We start from the raw sequence: 27,204 nt of genomic DNA on the forward strand, positions 1-27,204 counted from the left end.
TAACAGGAGGTAGCAAACAGCCTTGCCAAACTGAGTGTCCATGCTCTGAGTCGCCTTGGAGGGTATTTGGCTGAAGAACAAGCAACTCCAGAAAATCCAACCATAAGGAAAAGCTTAGCTGGCATGCTGACACCCTATGTTGCTAGAAAACTTGCTGTGGCTAGTGTGACTGAGGTATGTGCTTCACAGGTAGCCTGGGTTTTAATCAATAGTGCAAGATCCTTTAAGCAGTAAAGTAGTACAATAATATTGATCTAGGGAACCTAAAAATTAAGAACGTTCACATGTTTGTTCTCTCAAGCAAGAAATTCACTTTATAATGGATTGATGCTAATGATGTCAGTTCTACAAGTCCAGTTTTTGCAAGGGCAAATTAACTTTGTTTCTCAGCTGTGGAGCCTATCATAATTCTTACCAACCTTGAGTCACAAAGGGACAGGACGAGAGAGTGAAGTTGGAATGGTGTTTCACAATGGCAGACTACTGGGAGACAGGAGACCCAGAGTCTATTTCAAGCTATTTATTGTAAGCCATAGCTTATTCAGACACAGGGTTAAAATCCTGAAAGTAAATACATACATGCACATATACATGTATATGTATCTATGTACATACATAGATGCATTACAAAAATCAGTATGACATGATAGATCTCCCAACCTCTTTAACTTCTTTTGCAAGGATTATTGAGAAATAATCTGAGAATGTAGCACTAAAGAATTTGATAAACTATAGAAATCAGTTAAACAGGTTACTATTATCCTTTAATTATAAAAAAAAAAAGAGTACTAAAAGACATTAAAATAAATGAAGACACTAGATCCTATTTTTGGTATAACAAAATAAATGGATTGATAGATTTGTACCCATATGTTAACTGTAATTATTCCTGAATGGCATAATTATAGGCAGTTTTTCTTTTGTTTTCGCTAAGGATGAACTGTGACTTTTGTAAGTGAAAAAATCCTCAGGTTTCCAAAGTATTTTTACAACTTTTAAACAGGTTATTTGTTTTTAATCCAATGTGATTGAGTCCAATTTTCAGTGCTTGCCATGCTTTTCAGTTCCCATGTGTGAAAGGCAGGAGCTCTAGATGCTACTGGTTTTTTTTTTTTTTTTTAATTTTGTTTTTGTTTTTACTATTTTTCCTAAAACACTAGACGACCAGGGACCACTCCTGATGTTAGTTATTTTCCTGGACTTTTTGCTCACCAATGTGATACATTTTGCTGACTGAAAGCATTCTCTTCAGAAATGCCAACAAGTTTGGGATTAACCTTTATAGCCACCCCCACTAAAAATTTTTTATAGCATTTCAAAATTAAATGTTGGCATGAGCTCCAACTGGATTCAATAAAATGCTTAACTAGAAGTTAGCCTTTTGAAAACAAGGCTTGCATGTCTTTGTATAAGATGGAGGTCATAGTCCTCTGTTTTCCTATTAGCAGTAGACCTCTGTAAAAATAAAAGATTTTTATTCAGACATTTAAGGAATTGTGAAATATCTGTGTTTACATTTAAAATTGAGGAGAGCTCAACAATAGGAAAGCACACCAGATGCCTAAGCAGTCATAATCTATGCCTGCAGAAGGACTACACAGCCTTCAATATCAGGGTGTGGTCAGGAAAATCTGACTTTCTCCCCATAAATTTTATTTTCCTTCATACAGGTATGCTTCTTAAAGACTTAGGTTTTGTTTTCAAATACATGTACATAAAGGTATTATGTTGTGATTCTTTTCAAGCTTATAGTCACAGTGTGTTTATTAAGTACTTTCAAAATATTGAATTTCACCATGGCACAGCAGATTTTGAGAATGTTGAAGTCAGACTCAATTTCAAATCCTAGTTTCACCAGTTACCAGTTGTAAGATCTGGGACAAATAATTTAATGATTTGCAGTCTTAGTTTTTCTCAGCTGTAAAATGGATTATATCAATAAACTTGTTAGAATTATTGAGATACTTATTATTGAGGTCCATTATACTATAGGCAACTATTATAGTGTTTGGCCTATAATAGACATTTTTAATAAGTGATAATGTCAATAAGTTTTTTCACTAAATGTTATAAAACGGTAATATTGTCTCCTAGATTTTGAAGATGCTTAACAGCAACACAGAAAGTCCATATTTGATATGGAACAATTCTACAAGAGCAGAATTACTTGAATTTCTTGAATCCCAACAAGAAAACATGATTAAAAAAGTATGTTATTGTTTTATAAATTTCTTGGGTAATTTATTCTGATGGAATCTCTGGAAGTACAGCAGTATTGATTAGAACAGAAATCCACTACTTCTCACTTTAGTGTCAGTCAGTATGGCTTTCTGCCACCTAATATTTGGCCCATTTAAGAAGAGCATTGTGTTGTATGTAGTAATACATTAGGAATTTTTATTGTTGTTACCACTTATATACAGCTGTCTTCTATTTTAACCAGTTTTTGAACCCAGAAACCTTATTTTAGTTGTTCACTTCAGCCTCTTTTCGCTAGTAAGTGAAAGGTGCTTTCCAGTATCAAGACTGAACATTTTTTCTACCCTGCCACCTTTTAGTGGAGAAGCTATTACTGAGCCGTGAAAAAAAAACAAAAGGCAGTAGGATGGGCAATAAGGAGAAGACCTGGATAATCCATACACTAGATGGTTGAGTCTTGATGATTTTGAAGATAATTATGTGTGTGGCTTTGGAAATTAGAGTAACTATTACTGTAACATCTCAGTTATTTAGCGTTTTTGAGCTCATTCCATGTTAGTCATCTAGAACTCTTTATAGATAAAATTTTTGAGAATTGCAGAGCTAGGGAGAACGGGTCTTACATGTCTGTACATTATCTTTTTTTTTTTTTTTTTTTTTTTGAGATGGAATTTTGCTCTTGTTGGCTCAGGCTGGAGTGCAATGGCATGATCTCGGCTCGTCGCAACCTCCACCTCCTGGGTTCAAGTGATTCTCCTGCCTCAGCTTCTCGAGTAGCTGGGATTACAGGCATGCACCACCATGCCTGGCTAATTTTGTATTTTTAGTAGAGATGGGGTTTCTCCATGTTGGTCAGGCTGGTCTCGAACTCCTGACCTCAGGTGATCCGCCCGCCTCAGCCTCCCACAGTTCTGGGATTACAGGCCTGAGTCACCGCGCCCGGCCTTCTGTACATTATCTTTTACCAGAATAGACATAATAACATCTCTTTGTTTAGCATTTTATAATTTATTCTATACTTTTACATGTTATTTTAGTCCAATCTAAATTCGTTTTGGTTTCAGTCTTAATCTTCATGGGACTGTTTTTCTCCCATTCCTCCTCTATTTTTTAGCACTTTTGTTCAGTGTATTACTTTTTTTTTTTTTTTTTTTTTTTTTTTTTGAGATTGAGTCTCACTCTGTTGCCAGGCTGGAATGCAGTGGCATGATCTCGGCCCACTGCAGCCTCTGCCTCCCAGGTTCAAGTGATTCTCCTGCCTCAGCCTCCCAAGTAGCTGGGACTACAGGCATGTATCACCACGCCCAGCCACTTTTTGTATTTTTAGTAGAAACAGGGTTTCACCATGTTGGCCAAGATGGTCTCGATCTCTTGACCTCATGATCCACCCGCCTCGGCCTCCCTAAGTGCTGGGATTACAGGCATGAGCCACCGTGCCCGGCCTAGTGTATTACTTTTTAAAACCCAGTCCAAATATGCTCATTTCTCAGCTCTGTCATCCTACGTCTTACTAGGTCTGATGTCTGCTGAGTTGATTGAGAAGAATAAAGCGTCATACTTGCTTTATAAACTCTGGCTCTAAGACCTTTGTTAGCTGACCTCTGATCCTTTGAAATTTTAAAATGAGTTAATAATAGTAATATTTGGGATAAAAAATTATAATGTAATTGTATGCCTATTCCAAAGTCTTTTTAAGTGCTGTGACATGTATCACACCACATTTTTTCTCTAGAATATGCATAGATCTCTCAAGTTATTTATCTGTTAAGTTATTAAACTGAACATGGATAGATTTACATCTAACAGTCTATTTTTTCATCTTTTAAAAAGGGTGATTGTGACAAAACTTATGGATCAGAATTTGTCTACAGTGATCATGCCAAAGAACTTATTGTAGGGGAGATTTTTGTTAGGGTGTATAATGAAGTTCCTACTTTCCAACTGGAGGTAAGCTCTCTGCTTTTAATTTTACCTGATACCTTTGATCATTTGTTACTGAAAGTTACTAGTTTATTCACACTTTATAGAGGCACACTTCATTTTATTGCACTTTCTTTACTGTGCTGCTTTTTTTTTTTTAACAAATCAAAGGTTTTTGGCAACCCTGTGCCAAGCAAGCCTATTGGCACCATTTTTCCAATAGCATGTGTTCACTTCATGTCTCTGTGTCACATTTTGGTAATTCTCTCAATATTTCACACTTTTTCATTATCACATTATGGTGATCTGTGATCAGTGATGTTGCTCTTGCTAATTGTTTACATAAGATCGTGAAGTTCATCAATAGTGAACTTCATCAATAAATGTATGTGTTCTGATTGTTCCACCAACCAGTCATTCCTTGGTCTCCCTCTCCTCTGGCCTCCCTATTCCCTGAGTCAACAATATTGGAATTAGGCCAGTTAATAACCCTGCAACGGCCTCTAGGTGTTCAAGCGAAAGGAAGAGTCACAGGTCTCTCACTTTAAATTAAAAGCTAGAAATGATTAACCTTGATGAGGAAGGCTTGTCAGAAGGTTAAATAGGCCGAAAGCTATGCCTCTTGTGCCACACAGCCAAGTTGTGAGTGCAAAGGAAAAGTTCTTGAAGGAAATTAAAAGTGCTCCTCCAATGAATACATGAATGACAAGAAATTGAAACAGCCTTATTGCTGATATATGGAAAGTTTTAATGATTTGGATAGAAGATCAGACCAGCCACAACATTCCCATAAGACAAAGGCTAATTGAGAGCAAGGCTGTAACTCTCTTCAATTCTGTGAAGGCTGAGATAGAGGGTAAGGAAGCTGCAGAAGAAAAGTTTGAAGCTAGGGGGGATTGGCTCATGAGGTTTAAGGAAAAAAACTGTCTCCATAACCTAAAAGTGCAAGGTGAAGCAGCAAGTGCTGATGGAGAAGCTGCAGCAAATTACCCAGAAACTTAGCTAAGATAATTGAAGGTCACTACACTAAACAAGTTTCTAATGCCTTCTATTGGGAGAGCTTGCCATCTAGGATTTAGCTAGAGAGGAGCAATGTCTGGCTTCAAAGCTTCGAAGGACAAGTTGACTGTCTTGGTAGAGGCTTATGCAGCTGCTGACTTTTAAGTTGAAGCCAGTGCTCATTTACCCTTCTGAAAATCCTAGGAACTTTGAGAATGATAAATCTGTTCTCACTTATAGGTAGAGGCTAAACAGTGGGTACTTATGGACATAAAAGTGGCTATAATAGACACTGGAGACTACTAGAGGGAAGACGGGGGTGGTCAAGGTTGAAAAACTATTGGGTACTGTACTCAGTACCTGGGTGACAGTCATACCCCAAACTTCAGTATTCCAGGTAACAAGCCTGTACATGTACCCCCGAATCTAAAACAAAAGTTGAAATTATTTTTAAAAAATTATGCTAAATCTGCCTGTGCTCTATAAATGGAAGAACAAAGCCTATATGACAACACGTCTGTTTATGGCATGTTTTACCAAATATTTTAAGCCCACTGTGGAGACCTACTGCTCAGGAAAAAAAGAGCTTTCAAAATACTACTGCTCGTTGGCAATGCACCTGGTCACCCAAGAGCTCCGATGGAGATGTACAAGGAGATTAATGTTTTCATGCCTGCTAATACAGCATCCATTTTGCAGCCCATGGATCAAGGAGTAATTTCAACTTTTACATCTTGTTATTTAAAACATACATTTCAAACAGCTGTAGCTGCCATAGATAGTGATTCCTCTAATGGATGTGGGCAAAGCAAATTGAAAACCTTCTGGAAAGGATTCACCTTTCTAGATGCGTAAGAGCATTTGTGATTCATGGGAGGAGGTAAAAATATCAGTATTAACAGGAGCTTGGAAGAAATTGTTTCCAGCTCTCATGGATGACTTTGAGAAGTTCAAGATTCCAGTGGAGGAAGTCACTGCAGATGAGCTGGAACTAGCAAGAGAGCTAGAATTAGAAGTAGATCCTGAATATGTGACTCAATTGCTGCAATCTCATTATAAAACTTGAAGAGAAAAAGGGGTTGCTTCTTGTGGATAAGCAAAGAAAGTGGTTCTTGAGATGAAATCTTGTGAAGATGCTGTGAACATTGTTAAAATGACAAAAGATTTAGTATATTACATAAACTGAGTTGATAAAGCAGCAGCAGGGTTTGGGAAGATTGACTTCAATTTTGAAAGAAATTCTCCTGTGGATAAAATGTTGTCAAACAGATCACATGCTACAAAGAAATCTTTCATGAAAGGAAGAGTCAGCTGATAGAGCAGACTTCTTTGTTTTACTTTGGGAAGCCACCCCAACCTTCAGCAACCACCACCCTGATTAGTCAGCAGCTGTCAACATCAAGGTGACATTCCCACCAGCAAAAAGATTGACTTGCTGAAGGCTCAGATGATTGTTAGCATTTTTCAGTTAAGGTATGCACGTAGTTTTTTTTAGACATGATACTATTGTACACTTAATAGACCACAGTATAATGTAAAAATAACTTTTATATGCACTGGGAAACCAAAAAATTAGCTTTATTTTGGTGATCCAGAACTGAACCCACACTATCTCTGAGGTGTGCCTTTACACCGAAATAATACCAAATGCTTGTGATGGGGTGACCACTGACAGCTTGTGAGCCTCTTTATCTTGATTGTTGAAGAATTGAATTTTGTGAAGTTTATTCATAAGAAGTTGTTCCTTGCCCAGCTTTTTCTTATATTTTGTGCCTACTGCTATCCCACTGGGCCATGTTTATATGCCTTTAACTCACTAGTCCTTCATGGACGTACAAGGCCAGTTACATGCTCATTTCATCACAAGGGATATCAGACCACCAGACACAAGGCTTCCTCTGGCCAATATTAGGAGAAAATATAGGTTGAAAATAAAGATTTTTTTAGAAGATGACTGGAGTCACATCAGATCATCTTTTGTGATGATTCCTCATCACTTCCAGAAGCAGCTGAGGAGCTTCTTCTGAGTGCTTGGGGATCATATAGGGAGTTTTTGCTTTCATTTTTTGTTTTTTCTATTTAAAGACGGGTCTCACTGTCTTGCCCAGGCTGGTCTCAAACTCCTGGCCTCAAGCAGTCCTCCTGTCTCAGCCTCCCAAGTAACTGGGATTACAGGTTCAAGCCACTGCCCCTGGCTTGTAGGAGGTGGCAAAGAGGATTTGGTGGTTGATTTGTTTGTAAAAAGGAAAGAAGTGAGGCTTTGTTTTAGAGTTTACTCTTAGAGGAAAAATGTACTATGCCATAATGTATATCACGTATCACAGAGTAATATATATGTAAATAGCTATTAAGCAGAATGAGTTAAGTGACTTGTGACGTCCCTTTGAAAATTGTCCTTTGAATTTCTAAATTTTATATAACTTAATTATAAAAATATAACCAAATTTTAGAAGTTCTGTATCATACTATCTGTTACTTCGATTGATAAAGGGAGGAGGTATTCTAATCTCAGAATTGTTACACTAAGATACTAATGGGAGTATATCAGATCTCTGGAAGTTGAGAAATACTTTATAATGTTTCCTGCCCTCTACATCCCCCCTATAGTGCATAGGTGTATTCATGTGTATGTATAATTTAATCATGTTTTATTCACTTTCATAGCTTAAAGTTCTTTCTTTTGCTATGGAGTTATTTCTTAGGGCACCCATGTTGTTTAAATACTTGTCTGCATTGATTAGGTTCCAAAAGCATTTGCTGCAAGTCTCTTGGATTATATAGGCTCGCAGGCCCAATACTTGCACACATTCATGGCCATCACACACGCGGCAAAAGTGGAGTCAGAGCAACATGGAGATCGCTTACCGAGAGTAGAAATGGCTTTGGAGGCTCTGAGAAATGTCATAAAATACAATCCAGGTATGTGACTACACCTTTGATCAATAAGACTCGTATAATACAGGAGCCCTAAAAATTCCAATAATCAATTTTATCAGGGAAACTCAGGGAAAATTATACTTGGTTATAATGTATTAATATAACATTACAGGGAATTGACCCTGTAATAGTTTTACAATAAAAGTTAAGCTGGGGAGAGAGGTCAAGGCACTATGTTTAGAAAAATTCATGTCTTTATGAGAACATGTGTCTAAATGAGTTGAAAAGGCAGAATAGTTTGATAGTATAAAATTTCACATTGATGTCTTAAGTTAACATATCAAGTATAAGTGCTTGAATTAGATTTATTTAATAATAAGTGATCTAATTTTTGCCTCCTTTCTGGTCCCTAACCAGTGCCATGTGCATATGGGCACTGATGTTTTTCAAAAATTGCCTGAAGTTTTTGGTGTATAAAAATTGAAATAAAGATATGAGAGTTCCTACTCTTAATCATCTTTAAGAGGACATTTCCAAAAACATTACTCTAGCCTGACTCCAGGGAGATGGATGAGTGAAAATGTAACAGCTTCTCTCAACTCTAACTTAGATAATAAATATAGAACATAAACCTAAAATGATACAAATTCAATTTAAATTACTCGATCTTTTAAAATAACATTGAACATTACCTTTCAAGTACATTTTTACTCTTCTTAGTATGTATTAAAGTACTGTTAAAATTCTGACTTTTGGGTTATTGCCAAAAAGTTATTTAAATAAAATAACAGTAATTAAATATTGGGAAAATTACGCATTTACAAGATGTACATTGGGATGTTATTAAAGACAGTGTTATAAAATCTGAAGAAAACTTGTCTTTTATTTGGAGTTGTCAAAGTGTCGAATATTACTAGTGGTATGTTAGGTACAAAGAAATTGTAGCAGAGCAGACTATTGATTTGGAACTTGTAAAGAGTTGAAGAAAGGCCTGTGCAGAAATCCTTCTGATAATATCCATCAAGTTTATTAGAATTAACTCTCTCGTAATTTAGAAGTATGGTTTGTGTGTCATTGATGTATTTGACAGTTATTCCCTATCAATAAGTGGTTTGAAAATGAATTTAAAAGCAACATATTTATAGAATATTCTCAGACTCTTTAAGTTGAAGGAGTCTTACTGAGCTATCTTAAGAATCCTCAAAAGATAAGAAATTACACTGTATGTTTTACTACCATATAGAAGAGGAAGAATATGCTGAACAAAACGGAAGTAAATATATGGGATTAGGATTTGAGGTGGGTAGGAATGGAAATACCATTTCATTTTATGTATTTTCACAAGGAGTGCTTTGTATATTCATACCAGTTTGTTTGTATTATAGTTAAGTGGCAGAGTTCTAACCTAGTCTTATTTAAAAGCCAAATCATGTCAGAGTCTCCCAGAATATAATTAGGTTGAGGGGGGTAACCCTAAGGTCTAGAGGTAGAGTGAAATTACTACCTTACACTTTAGATTTTTGAGCTATATTTGGATTGTTTATTTGATAAAGGTCTTAGCCTGAGGGTTAGGGGTGGGGATGGGAATGAAAACAAAGTAAACCTAAAAAGCTCTAACACCTTACATTTTGCCTTTTAAGACTTATTGTTCCTTAGAGGTCCTCCACTTACTTCATGTCACAGATGTTTAGAACCAGTTATCAGAGACTTAAAATTGACAGTAAACAACAGTGTATATCGGTTTTCTGAAGTTAAATAATTTCAAACATCTCCTGGAAGTAAACCATTTTATTCTTATTCTCTAGGTTCTGAGAGTGAATGCATTGGGCACTTTAAGTTGATATTTTCTCTTCTCCGAGTTCATGGAGCTGGTCAAGTGCAGCAGTTGGCTTTAGAGGTAAAAGCGTTTTGTACTAAAGCGTGTTGCCTTTCCTACCACTTACCATGTGTAATTTGAGTCTCTATCAGTCATTGTCTGAAGTTGAAGTGTGCTTTTTTGTTGCATCATTTTGCCTATTAAGACACATCAATATTTTTTGAAATTTGAATTAACATGCTCAATTTGAAGAGTGAATATTGCACAATTGCACAATGTCGTTCTAAGTGGTTCTCTTTCTGTTATGCGTTAGGGCTTGGGATAGTGTTGTACAGTGTCAGGTATGAGTTAAGAATGGGCTTTACTGGGGAAGCTTAGAAGCCACACATCAGCAAGAAGATGATAGAGGGTTTCTGATTGCTGTGTTCCTATGGAGAGACATACTGAGGCCATATCTGTTGGCTACATACTGTGGGTTTGCATTTCAGAGGAGTGATCCTTGTCCCTCCCCCGCAGTTGAAACTCCCTTCTTACAAATCTAGTACAAGAGCTACCTTTTCTGTGAGGGTTACAGACAGACACCTGGGTATGCTGCTGTTATAGGAGTTGCCTAAAAAGGCCAACTGCCAGAACCCATGGGTCTTAAGAGTCCAAGAGAAGTTGGAGTCCCCTTGTTCAGGATATTGAAGCCACTGGTCCCATAGGATGCTGTTTAGATGTAGCCTTTTCTTCTGAGAGAAGCAAGAAGTCCCTAGTCACAAGTAGTTCTTTGCCCAGGCAACCGAGACTTCCCAGGATTATTTCTGAGATCTTGCTCTTTGTGACACACAGTTTATTGCAAAGAACACCAAATGCAACCCTGCAGTAACAGGTATATAGATGGTTTATGAATAATTTGTGTAACATGTTCTTAGATAACATTTTGGCTTAAAACAGATTTTTAATAGAATAAAAAAACTTTAAATTGGTCAAAGAGCTTAACAAGCAAGTTATTTAAATCGAAAAACATGTTTTCCTACTTAATTCCTTCAAGCATCTTGTAACTTTTTAAATAAACGTCATTAAATGTAGGATATGTTGCACTGAGACGCTGACCAATGATGTTTAGATGTATACTCTCAAAGATGTGAGTGGTCATCCTTTCTGAAAGAAAAACATACCTATTTCTTTATAATAGAAACATAACCCCAATCTATTGTGCAGGGTACTGAAGACATTTGCTTTTTTCCTCTAAAAGTAAGAGTCCCAGTAGTGAGAATCATTATTTTCCTAATCACCAGCCCCTATCCAAACTCTGTAATTGGAAAACACTATAGTATATACCTTAGTTCTGGAGCATGTATGGGTATAGGATTGAAGGCTTCTTAGAAACCTCAAGGTATTATTTCCAAAGAGATTAATAAAGGCAATCTTTTAAAATTAAACTCTTATCTAAAAACTAAATGTTTCATCCCCCAAACATTTGTCTCACTTGTACAGTCTATATGACCTAATTTGATTTAGGTTCAAAATTATTTCTGAAACTTTTACTATCCTGTTGATTAATTTTCAGGTTGTGAATATAGTGACATCTAACCAAGACTGTGTCAACAATATTGCTGAATCAATGGTTTTGTCCAGTTTATTGGCTCTTCTACATTCATTGCCATCAAGTATGTATACAGATGGAATTTTGGAAACCACAGCAAGATTAGCCCATGGAAAGGAGTTGTTGCATAGTTGATACAAAACCTCAAACAAATGTCATCTATGTTTAGTTTTAAAGTGTTATTTACACTAGATTTGTCTTCCTAATAATGTTTTACATACGTTACTGTCTTGCATTTCCTATGTCAAAAGTTGAAAGTTGGGGGTGAGAGAGGTCCAAAACCAAAGGAAAATAACCTGGGATTTTCAGTTTGTTGAGATCTACACATGGGTAATTGAGAATTAACTAATATTTCATGGTTTACTAAACATAAGTAATCTTGGATGATAGAAAACATGCTTAAGATACAGATGGCCTTGTATTCAGCTTAGTGTTCAAATCTGTGTACTTTGTCTTTTGCTGATTTGATATTAATAAGATAAAATACCAAGGTGGTTTAAAAAATATATCAACCTTATTTCCTGAACACAGCCTGCCCTAATCTATATAATTACCTAGTCTAATAGTTTATAGTTGTGCTAAAACCAACCCTGAGATTGCTTTTCAAAGGCAGGAATATTGAGTTTGTAGGCAATTACAATATAACTTCAAACTCAGCAATAACCAGAATACATTGCTTAGTTGGCTTTGCCAATCCCTTTGAAGTCACATTAATCTAGAATTCATGTCTGTCCACCTCCTTAAGAGAAGGAACCGTGTCGTTCATCTTATATACCAGTGGCTTGCTTATGTTTGGTGTTTATGTTTGGTAAATTGAGTTGAATTTCCATGGAAATTTTTTTTTTTCAATACATGATATGCTTGAAACAGGTCTTTAAAATGGCAGCTTTGTAAAGTCATTTGCAGATTGTTTTTATCATACCTGCAACCTTAGTTGGTTTTTCTTTTTTCTTGGTTTTCAGTAGCTTTGTGAGACTTCAAACAATGTAAAACTAAACTGGTTGGTGAAGTAAAGGATGTTATGGAACTCATAATTTTTAAAAGTGTAACTTTATACTTATATAGTCCAGTCAATATTTTAGTCTTACAGGGAAAATAGCTGGCATCCAGATATTTTAGCCTACTCTCTATCATTAAGACTTCAGACTAAATTATCTTACACTGTTTGCTAAGGTACATTGTTACTGTTCTTGTTGTTTTCATCTCAGCCTAATACTTTGCAGCCTCTACCTTATTTGCCAACACTTTATTCCTTTGGCAACCTGTCTGTCATTCCCATTTGACTCTAGAAGAGTTAAGTCCAGTAACCTATACTTGCATATAATATGGTAGTGACTGGGTGAGAGGCACACAGGCTTTGTCCAGAAGGATGCAATTATGTCTTAGAATGGAACCCGGTCTTACAACTGCTACTTCCTACTTTTTCCCTCAAGACAGTAGCACCAGGTAAAAATCTTAGATGCCTGATTAGAGTGTCCTCTGGGTGTCAGGAAATCAGATTTTTGGATGTGCAGTGCACAATGAGGTAGGAAGACAGGGTTTTATAGTGGTTATGAATATGGACTTTGGAGGCAGACCTGCATACAAAACTCAACTATACCACTTATTAGCTGTGAGACCTTGGGCCGGTTAAACTGGGCATCAGCTTCCTCACTCATAACATGGCCATGAAAATACCTGTCTCACTGGTTATTATGAGGATTAAATATGACATCCTGTGTAGAACATCTAGTTAAGTGCCTGGCACAGAGCTGGTGCCAAGTAAATATAAGCTAACCTGATGATGCATTCCTTGAAATGTCTTTTACTCTGCAGGTCGTCAGCTTGTTCTGGAAACTCTTTATGCTTTGACATCGAGTACAAAAATAATCAAAGAAGCAATGGCAAAGGGTAATGTATAGAGTGCTTTCTTAGCTAGTCATGTGCAATATAATGAAGCTTATTTTGAGCTGCATTTTACAGCCTGATAAACTAGAAGAATGCTTTGGAATGTTTACAGTTTTTAAAAACTACATTCAGTTGAAATATGGTTGAAAATGAATTCTGATTAGAAAAGTCAAATTCTTTATAAGCACTAATTATCTTTTTCCTTCATAGGTGCTTTGATCTATTTACTGGATATGTTCTGCAATTCAACACATCCACAGGTTCGAGCCCAAACAGCAGAACTTTTTGCCAAAATGACAGCAGATAAACTGATAGGTCCAAAGGTAGGCACAAAATAAGTTCTTGAAAGGAAATTAATTATTAAAGCATTGTTACTTTGATACTGATTTCAAGAAGTTTACTGAAATCTGAGATGGTGAGGATAAGGAAATGAGGTGATGTGAAAGTTGGAAAATTCACATTCCGGGAATTGTTCCTATGTATTACTGTTTGAGAAAACTAGAGTCAGGGCAGGCTGTACTGGAATTGAAAAGTCTTAAGAGAATGTTTGGATTAAGATACACTGTTCATCTCCCTCGAAGAGGGAACAAAAAGTATATCAAGACTATGACAGAAGATAGGTTAGACTTTCACACTACAAGGATTGGCCTGTGGAAATAACTAGTGAAGGAGATGGTGGTTTGTGTATTTTACATTCCACACCTGAATTATTAAGGACATGCCACCCTCAGCAGTGAATTCATATAGGGGCATGAGTGTAACAACACTTCTGGCTTCCAACTCTGCAGGGAGATCTTTTATTCCAAATCTGGAGATAACCGGATGATCTCTGGATCCATGGTCCAGTTTGGAGAGCAGGATACCTGTTAAAACAATAGTTCTGAATAGAATTTCATTCAGGTGCAAGTGGTATCAATGTCCCTTTATTTTGTTACTAAGTCAGTTTCACAAGTAGTACTCACTGAAGAGTCCTCTGTGCCTGCCCACAAAGCAGCCCCTTAGTCATAGGGAGAACATGAAATAAAGGCTCAGGAGTCCTACTTTCAGAGTTTGATTCAGTAGATCTAGGGTGGGGCCCAGGAGTCTCCATTCTTAACATGCTTCCAAAGTGATTCTTTTGAAGCCTATTCGGACTGATATTTAGGGATCATTATTCAAGCAAGTCCACAAAGGCACTTTGGGTAAGGAGGAGGCTAAGATCCCCTACCTCTATCTAAAGCCAGGGTGGCTTCCTTTGTACACATTGTGCCTCCATGTAAAGTTCAGTTTGAAAAAAAAAGTCCGAGGCTAATTAAACACTTTTTACATTAATAAAACAAATTGGATTCAGTTGTTTTCTTGCTCGATCTCTCAGTCTAGGTATTGAGAATCTGTCATAGGACCTGAAACAGTTTTACTTTAGTAATAAGTTAATAGTCTTCTGCAGGGTTGATGAGACAAGCAAGATTACATTTGGAAGCCTACAGGAGGGTCTATAAAATAGTTAATATTGAATTTCCTTAAAGCTAGAGCTAGGTAGCACATAACTGTAATATCTAATATTAGTTATTTTTTCTTTATTAATTTTTTTTATTTATTATTATACTTTAAGTTTTAGGATACATGTGCACAACGTGCAGGTTTGTTACATATGTATACATGTGCCATGTTGGCGTGCTGCACCCATTAACTCGTCAATAGTGTTTTAGACGCTTAAGTATGTACTGGAATTGACTGAGCTCTTTGGTTATATTTCTGACCTTTGAAATACGTGAGGGACAAATTTTATCAAGCTGACTGTTTTTACACTTAAACTTTCTGTATAGACAAAACACAAGTATCAACACCTTAATTGCAAGAGATTCTAGAACCGGGGTCGGTAAATTTTTTTGTTTTTGAGACAAGGTCTGGCTCTGTTGCCCAGGCTGAAAGTGCAGTGGTGCAATCTTAGCTCACTGCAGCCTCTGTCTCCCAGACTCAAGCCATCCTCCCATCTCAGCCTCCCAAGTAGCTGGCACTACAGGCACGCACCACCACACCTGGCTAATTTTTGTATTTTTTTGTAGAGGTGGAAAGGTTTGGCCATGTTGCCCAGGCTGGTCTCAAACTCCTGAGCTCATGTGATCCACCCGCCTTGGCCTCCAAAAGTGCTGGAATTGCAGGGTGAGCCAGTGTGTCTGGCCAAATTTTTTTTTCCTTTTTGGTAACAGTTTTCTTGAGATATTAATATCATTGACATACCATACAGTTCACACATATCTAGTGTACAATTCAGTGGTTTTTAGTATATTCACAGATTGAGCGATCATAATCAATTTTAGGTTTGACTTTCATCAACCCAAAAAGAAACCCTATTTCTATTAGCAGTCACTGTCCATTCTTCCTTTCCCCTAGCACCTGACAACCACTGATCTATTTCCTTCTGGATAGATTTGCCGAATGCTGGGCATTGTATATAAATGGAATCATACTATGTATGGTCTTTTGTGACTGGCTTCCGTTGTTTTCATCTATGTTGTAGCAAGTGTTAGTAAATTTATTTTTATTGCCAAATAGTATTCTGTGTTTTGGTATCCATTTATCTCAATGGACACATGGATTGTTTCTATTTTTTGGCTCTGCTAAATTACACTACTGTGAACATTTGTGTACAGGTTTTTGTGTGGACATGTGTTTTTGTTAGGAGTGAAATTTCTGGGTCATATGGTAACATTATGTTAAACCTTTTGAGGAATTGTCAGATTGTTTTCCAAAGTAGCTCTACCATTTTCCATTCCCCTAGCAATGTATTTATCATCTTCTTCTCTAACGCTTGTTATATCTTTTATTACAACCATCCTAGTAGGTATGATGTGTTACATCATGGTTTCGATCTGCATTTCCCTGGTGGCTAATGTTTTCATGTGCTTATTGGCCATTTGTACAACTTTTTAAGAGAAATGTTTATTTACATCCTTCACTAATTTTTAAATTGAGATTATTTATATTTTTATTATTGAGTTGTAATTGTTATGTTTTAGATACTAGTCCCTTATTATAGGTATGATTTTCAAGTATTTTTTCACATTTTCCTGATTGTTTCTCCACTTTCTTGGTGGTGCCCTTTGAAACACAAAAATTTTTAATTTTGAGGAGATCCAGTTTATTTTTTGTTTGGCTTGTTCTTTTTATGTCATATCTAAGAAACCATTGCCTAATCCAAGGTTACAAAGATTTATGGCTATGTTTTCTCCTCATTTTTATAGTATTAGCTCTTAGGTTTATGTTTTTGATCCATTTGAGTTAATTTTTATCCATGGTGTGAGATAGGGGTGGGCCAGTAAACTTTCTCTATGAAGGGCTTCACGCTGCTGATGAAGACATACCCAACACTGGGCAATTTACAAAAGAAAGAGGTTTATTGGACTTACATCTCCATGTGGCTGGGGAGGCCTCACAATCATGGTGGAAGGTGAAAGCCATGTCTCAAATGGCAGCAGATGCAAGAGGAGAGACTGTGCAGGGAAATCTCCCTTTTTAAAACCATCAGATCCCTTGAGACTTACTATCACGAGAACAGAATAGCACGAGAAAGACCTGCCCCTGTGATTCAGTTACCTCCCACCGCGTCCCTCCCACAACATGTGGAAATTCAAGATGACATTTGGGTGGTGACACAGCCAAACCATATCAAAGGACCATATAGTCAATATTCTATCCTTTGTGGGGCATGTGATCTCTGTTACAAATATTGAGCTCTTCTGTTGTGACAGGAAAATAGCCATGGACAGTAAATGAACAAATGGATGTGGCTGTGTTCAAACAAAACTTTATATACGAAAATAGATGGCAGGCCAGATGTGACCCCTTTTTTGCCAGCCCCTGTTCTAGGATAGCTGAGTAACCTGAACATAACTGGAGATTTATGGTCATGGTATTTGCCTTATGTAGGTTTTTTGCTCAAATGTTTAATAGTATACACACCAGTGAGTAATAAACTTATGTAGTTCTTAGCATTTGAAATGCTTTAAACATCCTGGTAAACTTTGCTTTAATACTGCTTTTTACAGATGATAGACTTGGGTCATTCATTAAATTGAATTAAATTAGAATACTAAACAAGCATTCTCAGAAATCCGATAGGAAGAGACTTTTGATTTTGTACAGCTGGTCAAATAATGTGCCTTTTTTAAAAGTATCAGATGACAGTAGGTTAGATTAAATAAATTTAGAAATGAAAGGACTCATGTTAAGACAGTTATCCTAAATACAATTAAAGTTTGCTTTCATATCAATTTGATAAGACTCATAAATATAGCTCTTAAATAAGACATTTGAAATTCACCCAACTGGTCAATAGATGATTTCTGTAGCAGTCACACACATACAGCTTATTACAAGTATATAGTTCACTTCTAAAAAAGGTTATTACTTAAAATTTAGTTTACTTGCCATAAAAATTTCAATTTTTGTTTCAAGCTGCAAAATATTTTAAAATAGGTTAGTTATTAGGAGTTCTTTTAAATACTAGTCTATAATGAAATCTGTTAAGACATATCAGATATTTCTGCCCTAAAATTTATGTAGAATGATTACAACAGTGATTCTTATGAGACAGCTAAGTATGTTTCAGAAGACAATTTTGTTAAAAACCTTAAACACAACAGTCATGTACAGTGACTCATGCCTGTAATCCCAGCTATTCAGGAGGCTGAGGCAGGAGGATTGCTTAAGGCCAGGAGTTCAAGACCAACCTGGGTGAGGTAGAGAGACCCCATCTCTTAAAAAGAAAAACAAAAAAAAAAGGTTAGAAGTTAGCCAAGCATGGTAGTGCACCTGTAATCTTAGCTACTCAGGAGGTTAAGGAGGGAGGATTACTTAAGCCCAGGAGTTCGAGGTTGCAGAGTGAGACCCTGTCCAAAAAAACAATAAGCAGTTGTATTAAAGGTGATGTAATTGGCCTGATATAGCAAGATGGCAGCATAACGTTCTGAGCAAAACTCTTGCTTTATGAATCACAGATCACTGACTTAATGAGTCTGGGTAACTTGTCTGTCTTTAGCTCCACAGTGAAAAAATTGAAATAAATGGCCTTTAAATCCCGCTCTAACTTTTAGGTGCTTCTTTGACATGTAATTTCTCTGGTCTTTGTGAGAATGAGCTACTAGGGGCAGATATACCACAGTGAGCAGGTCAAGCATTGTTCTTACACTCAGGGAGCTCATGACCAAGAAGAAGGACATACTTAATCACTTTGTCTACCTTCTCTTGTCCTCTGTAGAGTTTAATTATATTTCAGCACAATACTCTCATCATATTTAGGGAATATAGGAAGAAATAAGCCTGTGAAACCTCTTGTTGAGTTTACCTTGATGGTATTATTTAATATATAACAAATGCCCTTCCATGGGAACCCCAGGAGAAATTGCTTTTTTCCTCCAGAAACAGTTGGGTGTCTCTGAAGCAACTGACATGATTTTATTTTGTGGGTGTTCTGTTATGTAATTGAAATTTAGTTCATTGGCTGCTAGGAAATTCAGAGCTAAATTTGTAGTATATCTCTGGCAGTTATGGAGGTTTTATGTTTCTTTCGTGTGCTGACTTCATATTAGTCTTCATTTATTCAAGTATTTAAGCATCTGTTATGTGCCAGGGGCTGAGAATACAAGCAATGAGTAAGAAAGATTGGGCCTAGAGGGTTTCCGTAAGATAAGATTTGAGCCCAGAATTTGACACGGAGAAGAGATAAACGTGACGATCTGAAGGAAAAACACTTTCCCAACCCTCATTTTTCCCTTTGCCCCATGCCTCACATGAATTTTCATTTTGTCTGTATGTATGTGCTAGATGTATTTTTTAAAAGCTGCTTTTTAAATCCTTTCTGGAAAAAGACACAGTGTAACATAAAACATGCAGCAAAATAAATGCACTAGAAAATACTTGTAAGACAGAGGTAGAATGAGAAAAATTAGTTTGTGTGGGCAGGGGCTATAAAAGAGAGTTGGAAGGGACAAGCCTGGCTAAGGGCATTCTGCATATTGTAAGGCAAGACCTATGAGGTGTGCTCTGGGAACTTTACCATACTAGTGATACGGAGGCAGGGGGTGAAAATGAAACTTTTTTGGTCACCATGGCAGAACAGAGAAAATGAAACTTGATAGGTAAGTAGGTTCAGGTCGTACTGAGTCTTATTTAAAGGTACCTTTGCATAAACCGAGGATTATCTTTTTCACTCCAGAACTTTTAGGTAATGGTTATGGCCCACATAAGTCATAACACAAATTATGTTGATATTCTATCTTATTAGCAAAATACAAACAAAATATTGAGGTGTTTCCAATAGGTGTCTTTTTCATTCTCAAACTTCCTCGTATAGGTTCGAATTACGTTAATGAAATTTCTACCAAGCGTTTTCATGGATGCTATGAGAGACAATCCTGAAGCTGCTGTACATATTTTTGAAGGAACTCATGAAAATCCTGAGTTAATTTGGAATGATAATTCCAGAGATAAAGTGTCCACAACAGTTAGGGAAATGATGCTAGAGTAAGTAAAAACAAAGGTAATAATTTATAGCCTTTAAATAAAATCACTGGGAAGGGCAAACATTTCTTACTGTGCCCATCACCTCTAAAACTTATGCTAAAGGTTAATGAAAATGTATTTGTGACTGAAGTTTGGTATCCATCCCTTTTTTTCCCCAAGGCACTTTAAAAATCAGCAGGACAACCCTGAGGCAAACTGGAAGGTAAAATATACTTTTATTTTACATCTTATTTTCTGTTGATTTAGTTGTTTTCACTTTCTACTGAGTCAGTTTAATGCCGACCTATAACTACTTTGTCATCAAGACTCTTGGGTATTCCCCTGGAAAATAAGGCTTCAAACATAAAAATTGGAATACTTACTTTCGAAGTTAGTAAGGGCACCCTTTCTGAACTTTATTAAGAAAAAATAAAACTCATAATTTGATTATATTATGGCTGTTTGTGGACTGGTTAACATTATAAACAATTCTTTAATATGGTGTGCATTTCTAGCTTCAAGATTATTAAGTGACTTGACTGTGGTTCTTTCTCTATTTAAAGTTGCCTGAAGATTTTGCTGTGGTGTTTGGAGAAGCAGAGGGTGAACTTGCTGTTGGAGGAGTCTTCTTGAGGATCTTTATTGCACAACCAGCCTGGGTTCTAAGAAAGCCTAGAGAATTTCTTATTGCCCTGTTAGAAAAATTAACTGAGCTCCTAGAGAAGAACAATCCTCATGTAAGCTTCAGTCAAAAGCAAAACATTTCAAAGACTTGGCTAACTAGACTGATGGTGTTTCTCTTACAACCTTATTCACAAAGACCATGAATTAGGAATTGGCCAGCTCTTTCAATATAGCAGCCACATTTAAATTCACATATGCCCCTCGATCATTTTTTTGCCATGTTCAAAAGTGAAGCTCTTTAGTATGTTTATGAACCAAAGTTATAGAGATATCTATATTGAGAGGATGCTATTTCTAACAGTTACAGAAGCCTGAAAAGAAGGTTTTTACTGTCCATCTCTAATGAATATGTAATTTTAAGGAGAAACCTGTGTGTTCGGTGTTCCTCTGAGAGTGTGTTCTGTTTGGGCATGTGCTGCACTCTACTTTGTGTATATGGCAGGGATAACCCTAGTCAAAGAAATTGACAGAAGAGTAGTAACTATGTGGTTGAATCCTGTATCTGTGGCTGAGGCTGCCAGGAAAGCAGGAGTGAGTGAAAAGGTAACTTTGGTCTTGGGTTTGGCAAGCCAAATACCGTGATAGTATATAAGATTTTGTTTTTCAAAGTCTTTTTTGTTTTCAGAAGGTTTAAGATTTTGTTGAGATTGAAGACAGTTGACCTACATGATTGTTGTTTAAACAGGCTGGCTACAGAATAAGGTGATTAAGAGCCTGAGTGGTGTTATTTGATGGTTCCAGCCATACCACTGACCAGGTCTGTGACCTTGGGCAGTACCTCATGACTCTGCCTCAGTTGCTGCATTTATAGAATAGTCATAGCAGCTGCCTCTGAGGCAGAGGTTCTGATGAGTTAATACATATATAGAATGCTTAACATAATGTCTGGCACATTTCAAGTGCTTAGAAATTAGTTACTATCATTAGCTTAGTAAAACATATTTTTAAAACATGATTAGCTTGCTGAGTATTTACCAGTGCTACTTTCCATAGTCATATTCCTCCAATAGGATTTCTACTACATACATAGTTTGCTTGGAAAATGCAGTCCTCAAAAGCTAAAACTTAGGGAAAGCACATAGCAGTTTCCTCCTATATCACCTTTCTTTTTGGACACATTCCAATTTTAATGTTAATTTAAGATGCATTTTATTATGTTTCTGGATGTGTGCATCTAGTGGTATAAGCTGAAGGTCTTTCCAATCCGTTATCCACAATAGAAAGTGCTTTGTGGGAGCCAGACATGTTAAATAGTAGGATTTTTAATGAAACTGGGAAAAACATTTCACTAGTTCTGCATTCTTCTGGATTATTGTTCTGACACTAACATACCTGCAACATGGTCTAAAAATTTCTAGTAATATCATTTGGGACATGATCTCTTAAACCTGCAATAGAGGCTGGGCGCGGTGGCTCACGCCTGTAATACCAGCACTTTGGGAGGCCAAGGCGGGCGGATCACCTGAGGTCAGGAGTTCGAGACCAGCCTCAACATGGAGAAACCCCGTCTCTACTAAAAAAAATACAAAATTAGCCAGGCGTGGTGGTGCATGCCTGTAATCCCAGCTACTTGGGAGGCTGAGGCAGGAGAATTGCTTGAACCTGGGAGGCAGAGGTTGTGGTGAGCCGAGATCGCGCCATTGCACTCCAGCCTGGGCAACAAGAGCGAAACTCCGTCTCAAAAAAAACCTGCAATAGAAATTGGGTATACCTAACCGAGTAAAATCCTGCTTAGATTAAAATAGCATATTCTTAAAGTCCTTTAGATTCATGCCTTTTATGAAAGAAAATGGGAAGTTCGTTGTTCTCTTAGGATTAGTGAATCTGTTTTCAAGTATCAGCACTTAGAACTTTTGAATCCCTAGTTTTGAACACCAAATACATTACCTTGGATATTTAGGGCTGTATGAGTATTTTATAGTTGATTTATTTTTGTTTTACACCTGCAGGGAGAAACTCTGGAAACCTTGACAATGGCAACAGTGTGTCTCTTCAGCGCACAACCTCAGCTGGCAGATCAGGTCCCGCCATTGGGCCATCTTCCCAAAGTTATCCAGGCAATGAATCATAGGAACAATGCCATTCCTAAGAGTGCCATTCGGGTTATCCATGCCTTGTCTGAAAATGAGGTATTGATGAATACACTTAGTAGTTTATAAGCTCCAGAATTTATCTATGCTCCCTTCTTGACGGATATAAGTTGTAGTATTATATAAATCCCCTTTCTGCCATGTGTCTTTTTGCATACGAACCACATGGTATTTTATTAGTTCTGGGTTTATCAAAACTGGTATTTATCAAATCAGTTTTGATAAATACCAGTTTAGGTGATATAATTAATAGATTAAATTTGGTTCAATTCATTGTTAAACTGAAAGTAAGGGATTCTTTTTTTACTTATTTACTTATTTTGTTATGGTATTTACTATGTTATATAAATATTGCCAGTCTACAAGTAACCTTCTCTTTTGGGCACTTAGCTGTGTGTTCGAGCCATGGCATCTTTAGAGACCATTGGCCCACTGATGAATGGAATGAAAAAGCGAGCAGATACTGTTGGTCTAGCCTGTGAAGCAATTAATCGAATGTTTCAGAAGGAGCAGAGTGAATTAGTAGCACAAGTAAGTGACTTTCTAGATTTAGCACTATTTTAGGAAAGCAAACATACCAAGTAGATTTTTACCTATTTGGTACTGATTTGGTTTCCTTGACTTAAGGTTGGTGAGAGTTAACTTGTGAGTTTGTGTATAAACAATTTTATATTTTATATATACAAACACATACAGTAGTGTGTATAATACGTGTGTATATGTGTATGTATATATACATGGATGTTTGTGTATATATACACACACACAAAAATGGGGCCAGCTGCCAACAGTCTTACCAACTTGAGAGTACTTTTATGGTGTATAAAATTTACATTTTGGCTATCCATTGTGCAATTAGCTTAGTAGCTTGTTTAGCTTGATTTGTAAAATGTGCTTCATCCTCTTTGGAAAAATTCATTCGTTTATTTATTCCTTTGTTTCTTAAGTCATGTTTAAGAAACATGCCAAGATACTGCCTTTTTCAAAGAGACTATCCACCTAATGAAAACTGGACTTGGTGGATATCCATGTAGACAGATGTTGATGGAACAAAAAAGATGCAATAAATTTAAAAACTTACAAAAGCGATCTTTCTAAAATGTAACTCAAAGAACAAATACCACATGATCTGACTTGTAAGTGGAGTCTAAAACAATCAAACTTATGAAGCAGAGAGTAGAATAGTGATTACTAGAGGCTGGGGTTGGGGAGAATGGGAAAATGCTGGTCAAAAAGTACAGTTTCTGTTAGGAAGAATAAGGCTTTTAAGATCTATTGTGCATTATGTTGACTATAGCTAATAATACATTGTATATTTCAAAATTGGTAAGAGTAAATTTTAAATGTTTCCACAAAAAAATAAGTATTTGTAATGGTAGATATGCTAATTAGCTTGATTTATTCTGCATTGTATGCATGTGTCATAACATCACTTTATTTCCCATAAATACATACAATAAAAAATAATAAAGTATTTAAATAGAATTCTGAAATATAACTGAGCCATTCTTCATCTTAAAAACCATTCAGTGGTTTCTCATTACCTGCCAGATGACTAAGTGACATCTGGTATCCTTAGCCAGAATACAAGGCCCTGCATCTTTATTATCTGGGCTTCCCCTTCTCCCAGCCCCTCAGCCTTACCCACTGGACCCTCATTGAGGCAAGTAGAGCTGTTGGGTACATCTCAAGGAGATACTGGATGCTCTAAGGTTCAGACTTATGATTGGCTTGAGGAGTTTGATGTGTAGGAAAGAACATGAGCTGGTACTACCACTTGTTGGCTCTCTGACCTCAGACATGATATTTAACCTTAAAATGCTCAGATTTCTCATCTGTAAAATAAGGTTGTGACTATCTCACAAGGTTGTTATGAGAACAGTACCTGAAAAAAGAGGTGCATTCACTAAATGTCTTTTATTTCTTCCTATTCCCTCTGAGTTTCAAAATGGATAGTGAAAATTGTGACATTAGATTATTATTCAGCTTTTATTAGGCTGATATGAAATGTACGATGACCACAAAGATTGATGTTTGAAGAAAATATGAAAAAATACTAATGTATTTCAGAGATTGTTGCCTATTAATACAGTGTTACTAGGGCAGGCAGCCCAGTATAGGGGCTAAAAGCTCAGGTTCTATGTTTTCTGGCTCCAGATACATATTTTAATACTGCCCAGCTCTGTGATTATGAACATACTGTTTTACCCTCTGTGCATTAATTGAATAAAATAATTGATGTATAGCATTTAGAATGGTTAATGGACAGAATAAAATCTCATTAAATAAAAATGTCATTAGATACTTAAGCCTGTGTATGGCATTAAAATACGGTGCAACAGGCTGCCTTCCAGGTAGGTCCTGGGGGTAAAATTATTTCTTCAGTGGATGATTTGCATTTTTTCTGTGTGTTTATATATGCTTAATATTTCTTCTAGGCCCTGAAAGCAGATTTGGTTCCATACCTCTTAAAATTACTCGAAGGCATTGGCCTTGAAAACCTGGACAGCCCAGCAGCCACTAAGGCTCAGATTGTTAAAGCTCTCAAGGCAATGACTCGAAGTTTGCAGTATGGAGAACAGGTGAGTCTGCATAGAGTCAACTTTTGATATTCTAAAAGCCAGGGTCTTGGCCATGGATGGTCCACGTACCTGTGTTCAAGTTCCACTTACAGATATGGTTCTGTTGGTTGTAACTGGAGAAGATCCAGAGCCCAAGGATGGACTTGCATACCTGCCTCATAACTGATGAAAAAGCATAAACCATATACTCAATATTCAGGAGAATTCTTCTGGATAGTGATGGCATGTTGTACATTTCAGGAAGAAAAATGCTGGAAATCTTTAGCATGGAATATGCAGCATTTAGTGCTGCTTAAGATTAACTTTCAGCTCTAGGAGTTATTCATGGGTAGTGATAACCAAATTCATTAACCATCCCATAATGCTATTTTAAAAGATGTAGAACATCATTTTTGTTTTCATTTCCTTTCTTGCTGGTGCTTAAAAAGTGTTGGTTTTTTTTTTTCTTTGGTCGTGACTTTGTTTTTCCTATGTGTGTTAATGTATTTCAGCTGCACGTATTTGCTGACTTCAGGCCTGTTCAGTAATTTAATTTTCCTCATTGGTTTTATTTTTATTATTTCCTCTAAGGAGTTCCTCATTCAGTGTACTATATAGCCCCATCTACTAATGCTCATTTTTTTTTAATTGACGTGAAATTTACATAGCATAAAATTAACCATTTTATGGTGAATAGTTAAGTGGCATTTAGGACATTAACAGTGTTGTACAAACACCACCGTATCTAGTTCCAAAACATTTTCATCACCTCTGTACCCATTCAGCAGCTACTCTCCCTTTCTTCCTTCCCCCAACCTTTGGCACCCACCAATCTGTTTTCTGTCTCTGGATTTACCTCTTCTGCGTATTTCATATAAATATAATCATACATATGTGACCCTTTGTGTCTATCTTGTCATTTAGCATGTTTTTAAGCATCATCCATGTTACCAATGCTTCATTTTTATGTCTAAATATGTCATTGTACGTAAATGCTCCAATTTGTTTATCCATTCATCTATTGATGGACATTTGGGTTATTTCCCCTACTAATGTTCCATAGGTTTTAATTGACTTCAGCTACAGCTTCCCGGTAATGAATTTACTGGATTTGTATGTTTCAAGTAAAGAAACATTTTTCATACCATTGTCATTCTATCAATATGATCATTTAAATGATTTAAAATGATATTAGGCTGGGCGCGGTGGCTCACGCCTGTAATCCCAGCACTTTGGGAGGCCGAGGCGGGTGGATCACGAGGTCAGGAGATCAAGACCATCTTGGCTAACACGGTGAAACCCCGTCTCTACTAAAAATACAAAAAATTAGCCAGGCGTGGTGGCAGGCGCCTGTAGTCCCATCTACTCGGGAGGCTGAGGCAGGAGAATGGCGGGAACCCAGGAGGCGGAGCTTGCAGTAAGCCGAGATAGCGCCACTGCAGTCCAGCCTGGGTGAAAGAGCGAGACTCTGTCTCAAAAAAAAAAAAAAAAAGAGATATTAAAGAAGAGAGGCAGCACTTCTGCAGATATTAAAGAAGAGACTGCAGTATTGCTGCAGTCATTAACTGATGTGTTTTTAGAAGTATTTTCTTGGTTTTTGCCTATGAGTGTTCTAAATGCCAAGCAAAGGCTCTCCTGCGTACCACTTGCAGCAGTTGTCTTGTCTTTGACTTGCCTCAGGATTCCTGGTAATGAAATTAGCAAAGTAATCCTGACACCCACTTCCTACACCCAAGGGAGGGGAGGAAAGAGGTATAGTAGTTTCTAAATAGGAACTCCCCTACCAGCTTTACAACTAATCACTTCCACTACTGCTTCTTTCCCGGGTTGGAGCAGGTGCCCCCCTCCCTTGGACTCACATGGTCCCCTTGTATAACCCTACTTTAATTCTTACCACAAAATTATTTGACGCTGTCTTCCCTACTAGATTGTAAGCACTTCAGAGACAGTCTGTCTTTCTCATCTTTGTGTTCACTGTGCCTACCACATAAGAGGTGCTCAGTAAATACTAGATATGAACATTGATGTGCAAAAGCTATTCACTAAGGTGGTATTTCCTAAATGTTTTGTCACACAGAAATGTCTTTCATCTTAGTTTAG

At 36.9% G+C, this 27,204-nt stretch overlaps 1 protein-coding gene across 4 annotated transcripts in view; it reads left to right on the forward strand.

Annotated features, from left to right (window-relative positions):
* The window catches only part of DNAJC13 (DnaJ heat shock protein family (Hsp40) member C13), a 121,531-nt gene that overhangs the window by 85,706 nt on the left and 8,621 nt on the right, over window positions 1-27,204 (forward strand). For all 4 annotated transcript variants that reach the window (NM_001329126.2, NM_015268.4, XM_047447819.1 and 1 more), the window contains 14 exons: window positions 7-174; window positions 2,095-2,208; window positions 4,030-4,146; window positions 7,860-8,037; window positions 9,801-9,892; window positions 11,364-11,463; window positions 13,215-13,289; window positions 13,497-13,609; window positions 19,621-19,790; window positions 19,950-19,992; window positions 20,333-20,506; window positions 22,403-22,582; window positions 22,934-23,074; window positions 24,982-25,125. In NM_001329126.2, the coding sequence (NP_001316055.1) occupies window positions 7-174; window positions 2,095-2,208; window positions 4,030-4,146; window positions 7,860-8,037; window positions 9,801-9,892; window positions 11,364-11,463; window positions 13,215-13,289; window positions 13,497-13,609; window positions 19,621-19,790; window positions 19,950-19,992; window positions 20,333-20,506; window positions 22,403-22,582; window positions 22,934-23,074; window positions 24,982-25,125 (1,809 nt within the window). The remainder of the gene's footprint in view (window positions 1-6; window positions 175-2,094; window positions 2,209-4,029; window positions 4,147-7,859; window positions 8,038-9,800; window positions 9,893-11,363; window positions 11,464-13,214; window positions 13,290-13,496; window positions 13,610-19,620; window positions 19,791-19,949; window positions 19,993-20,332; window positions 20,507-22,402; window positions 22,583-22,933; window positions 23,075-24,981; window positions 25,126-27,204) is intronic.

Source organism: Homo sapiens, chromosome 3, assembly GCF_000001405.40.
Source record: "Homo sapiens chromosome 3, GRCh38.p14 Primary Assembly".
NCBI lineage: Eukaryota > Metazoa > Chordata > Mammalia > Primates > Hominidae > Homo > Homo sapiens.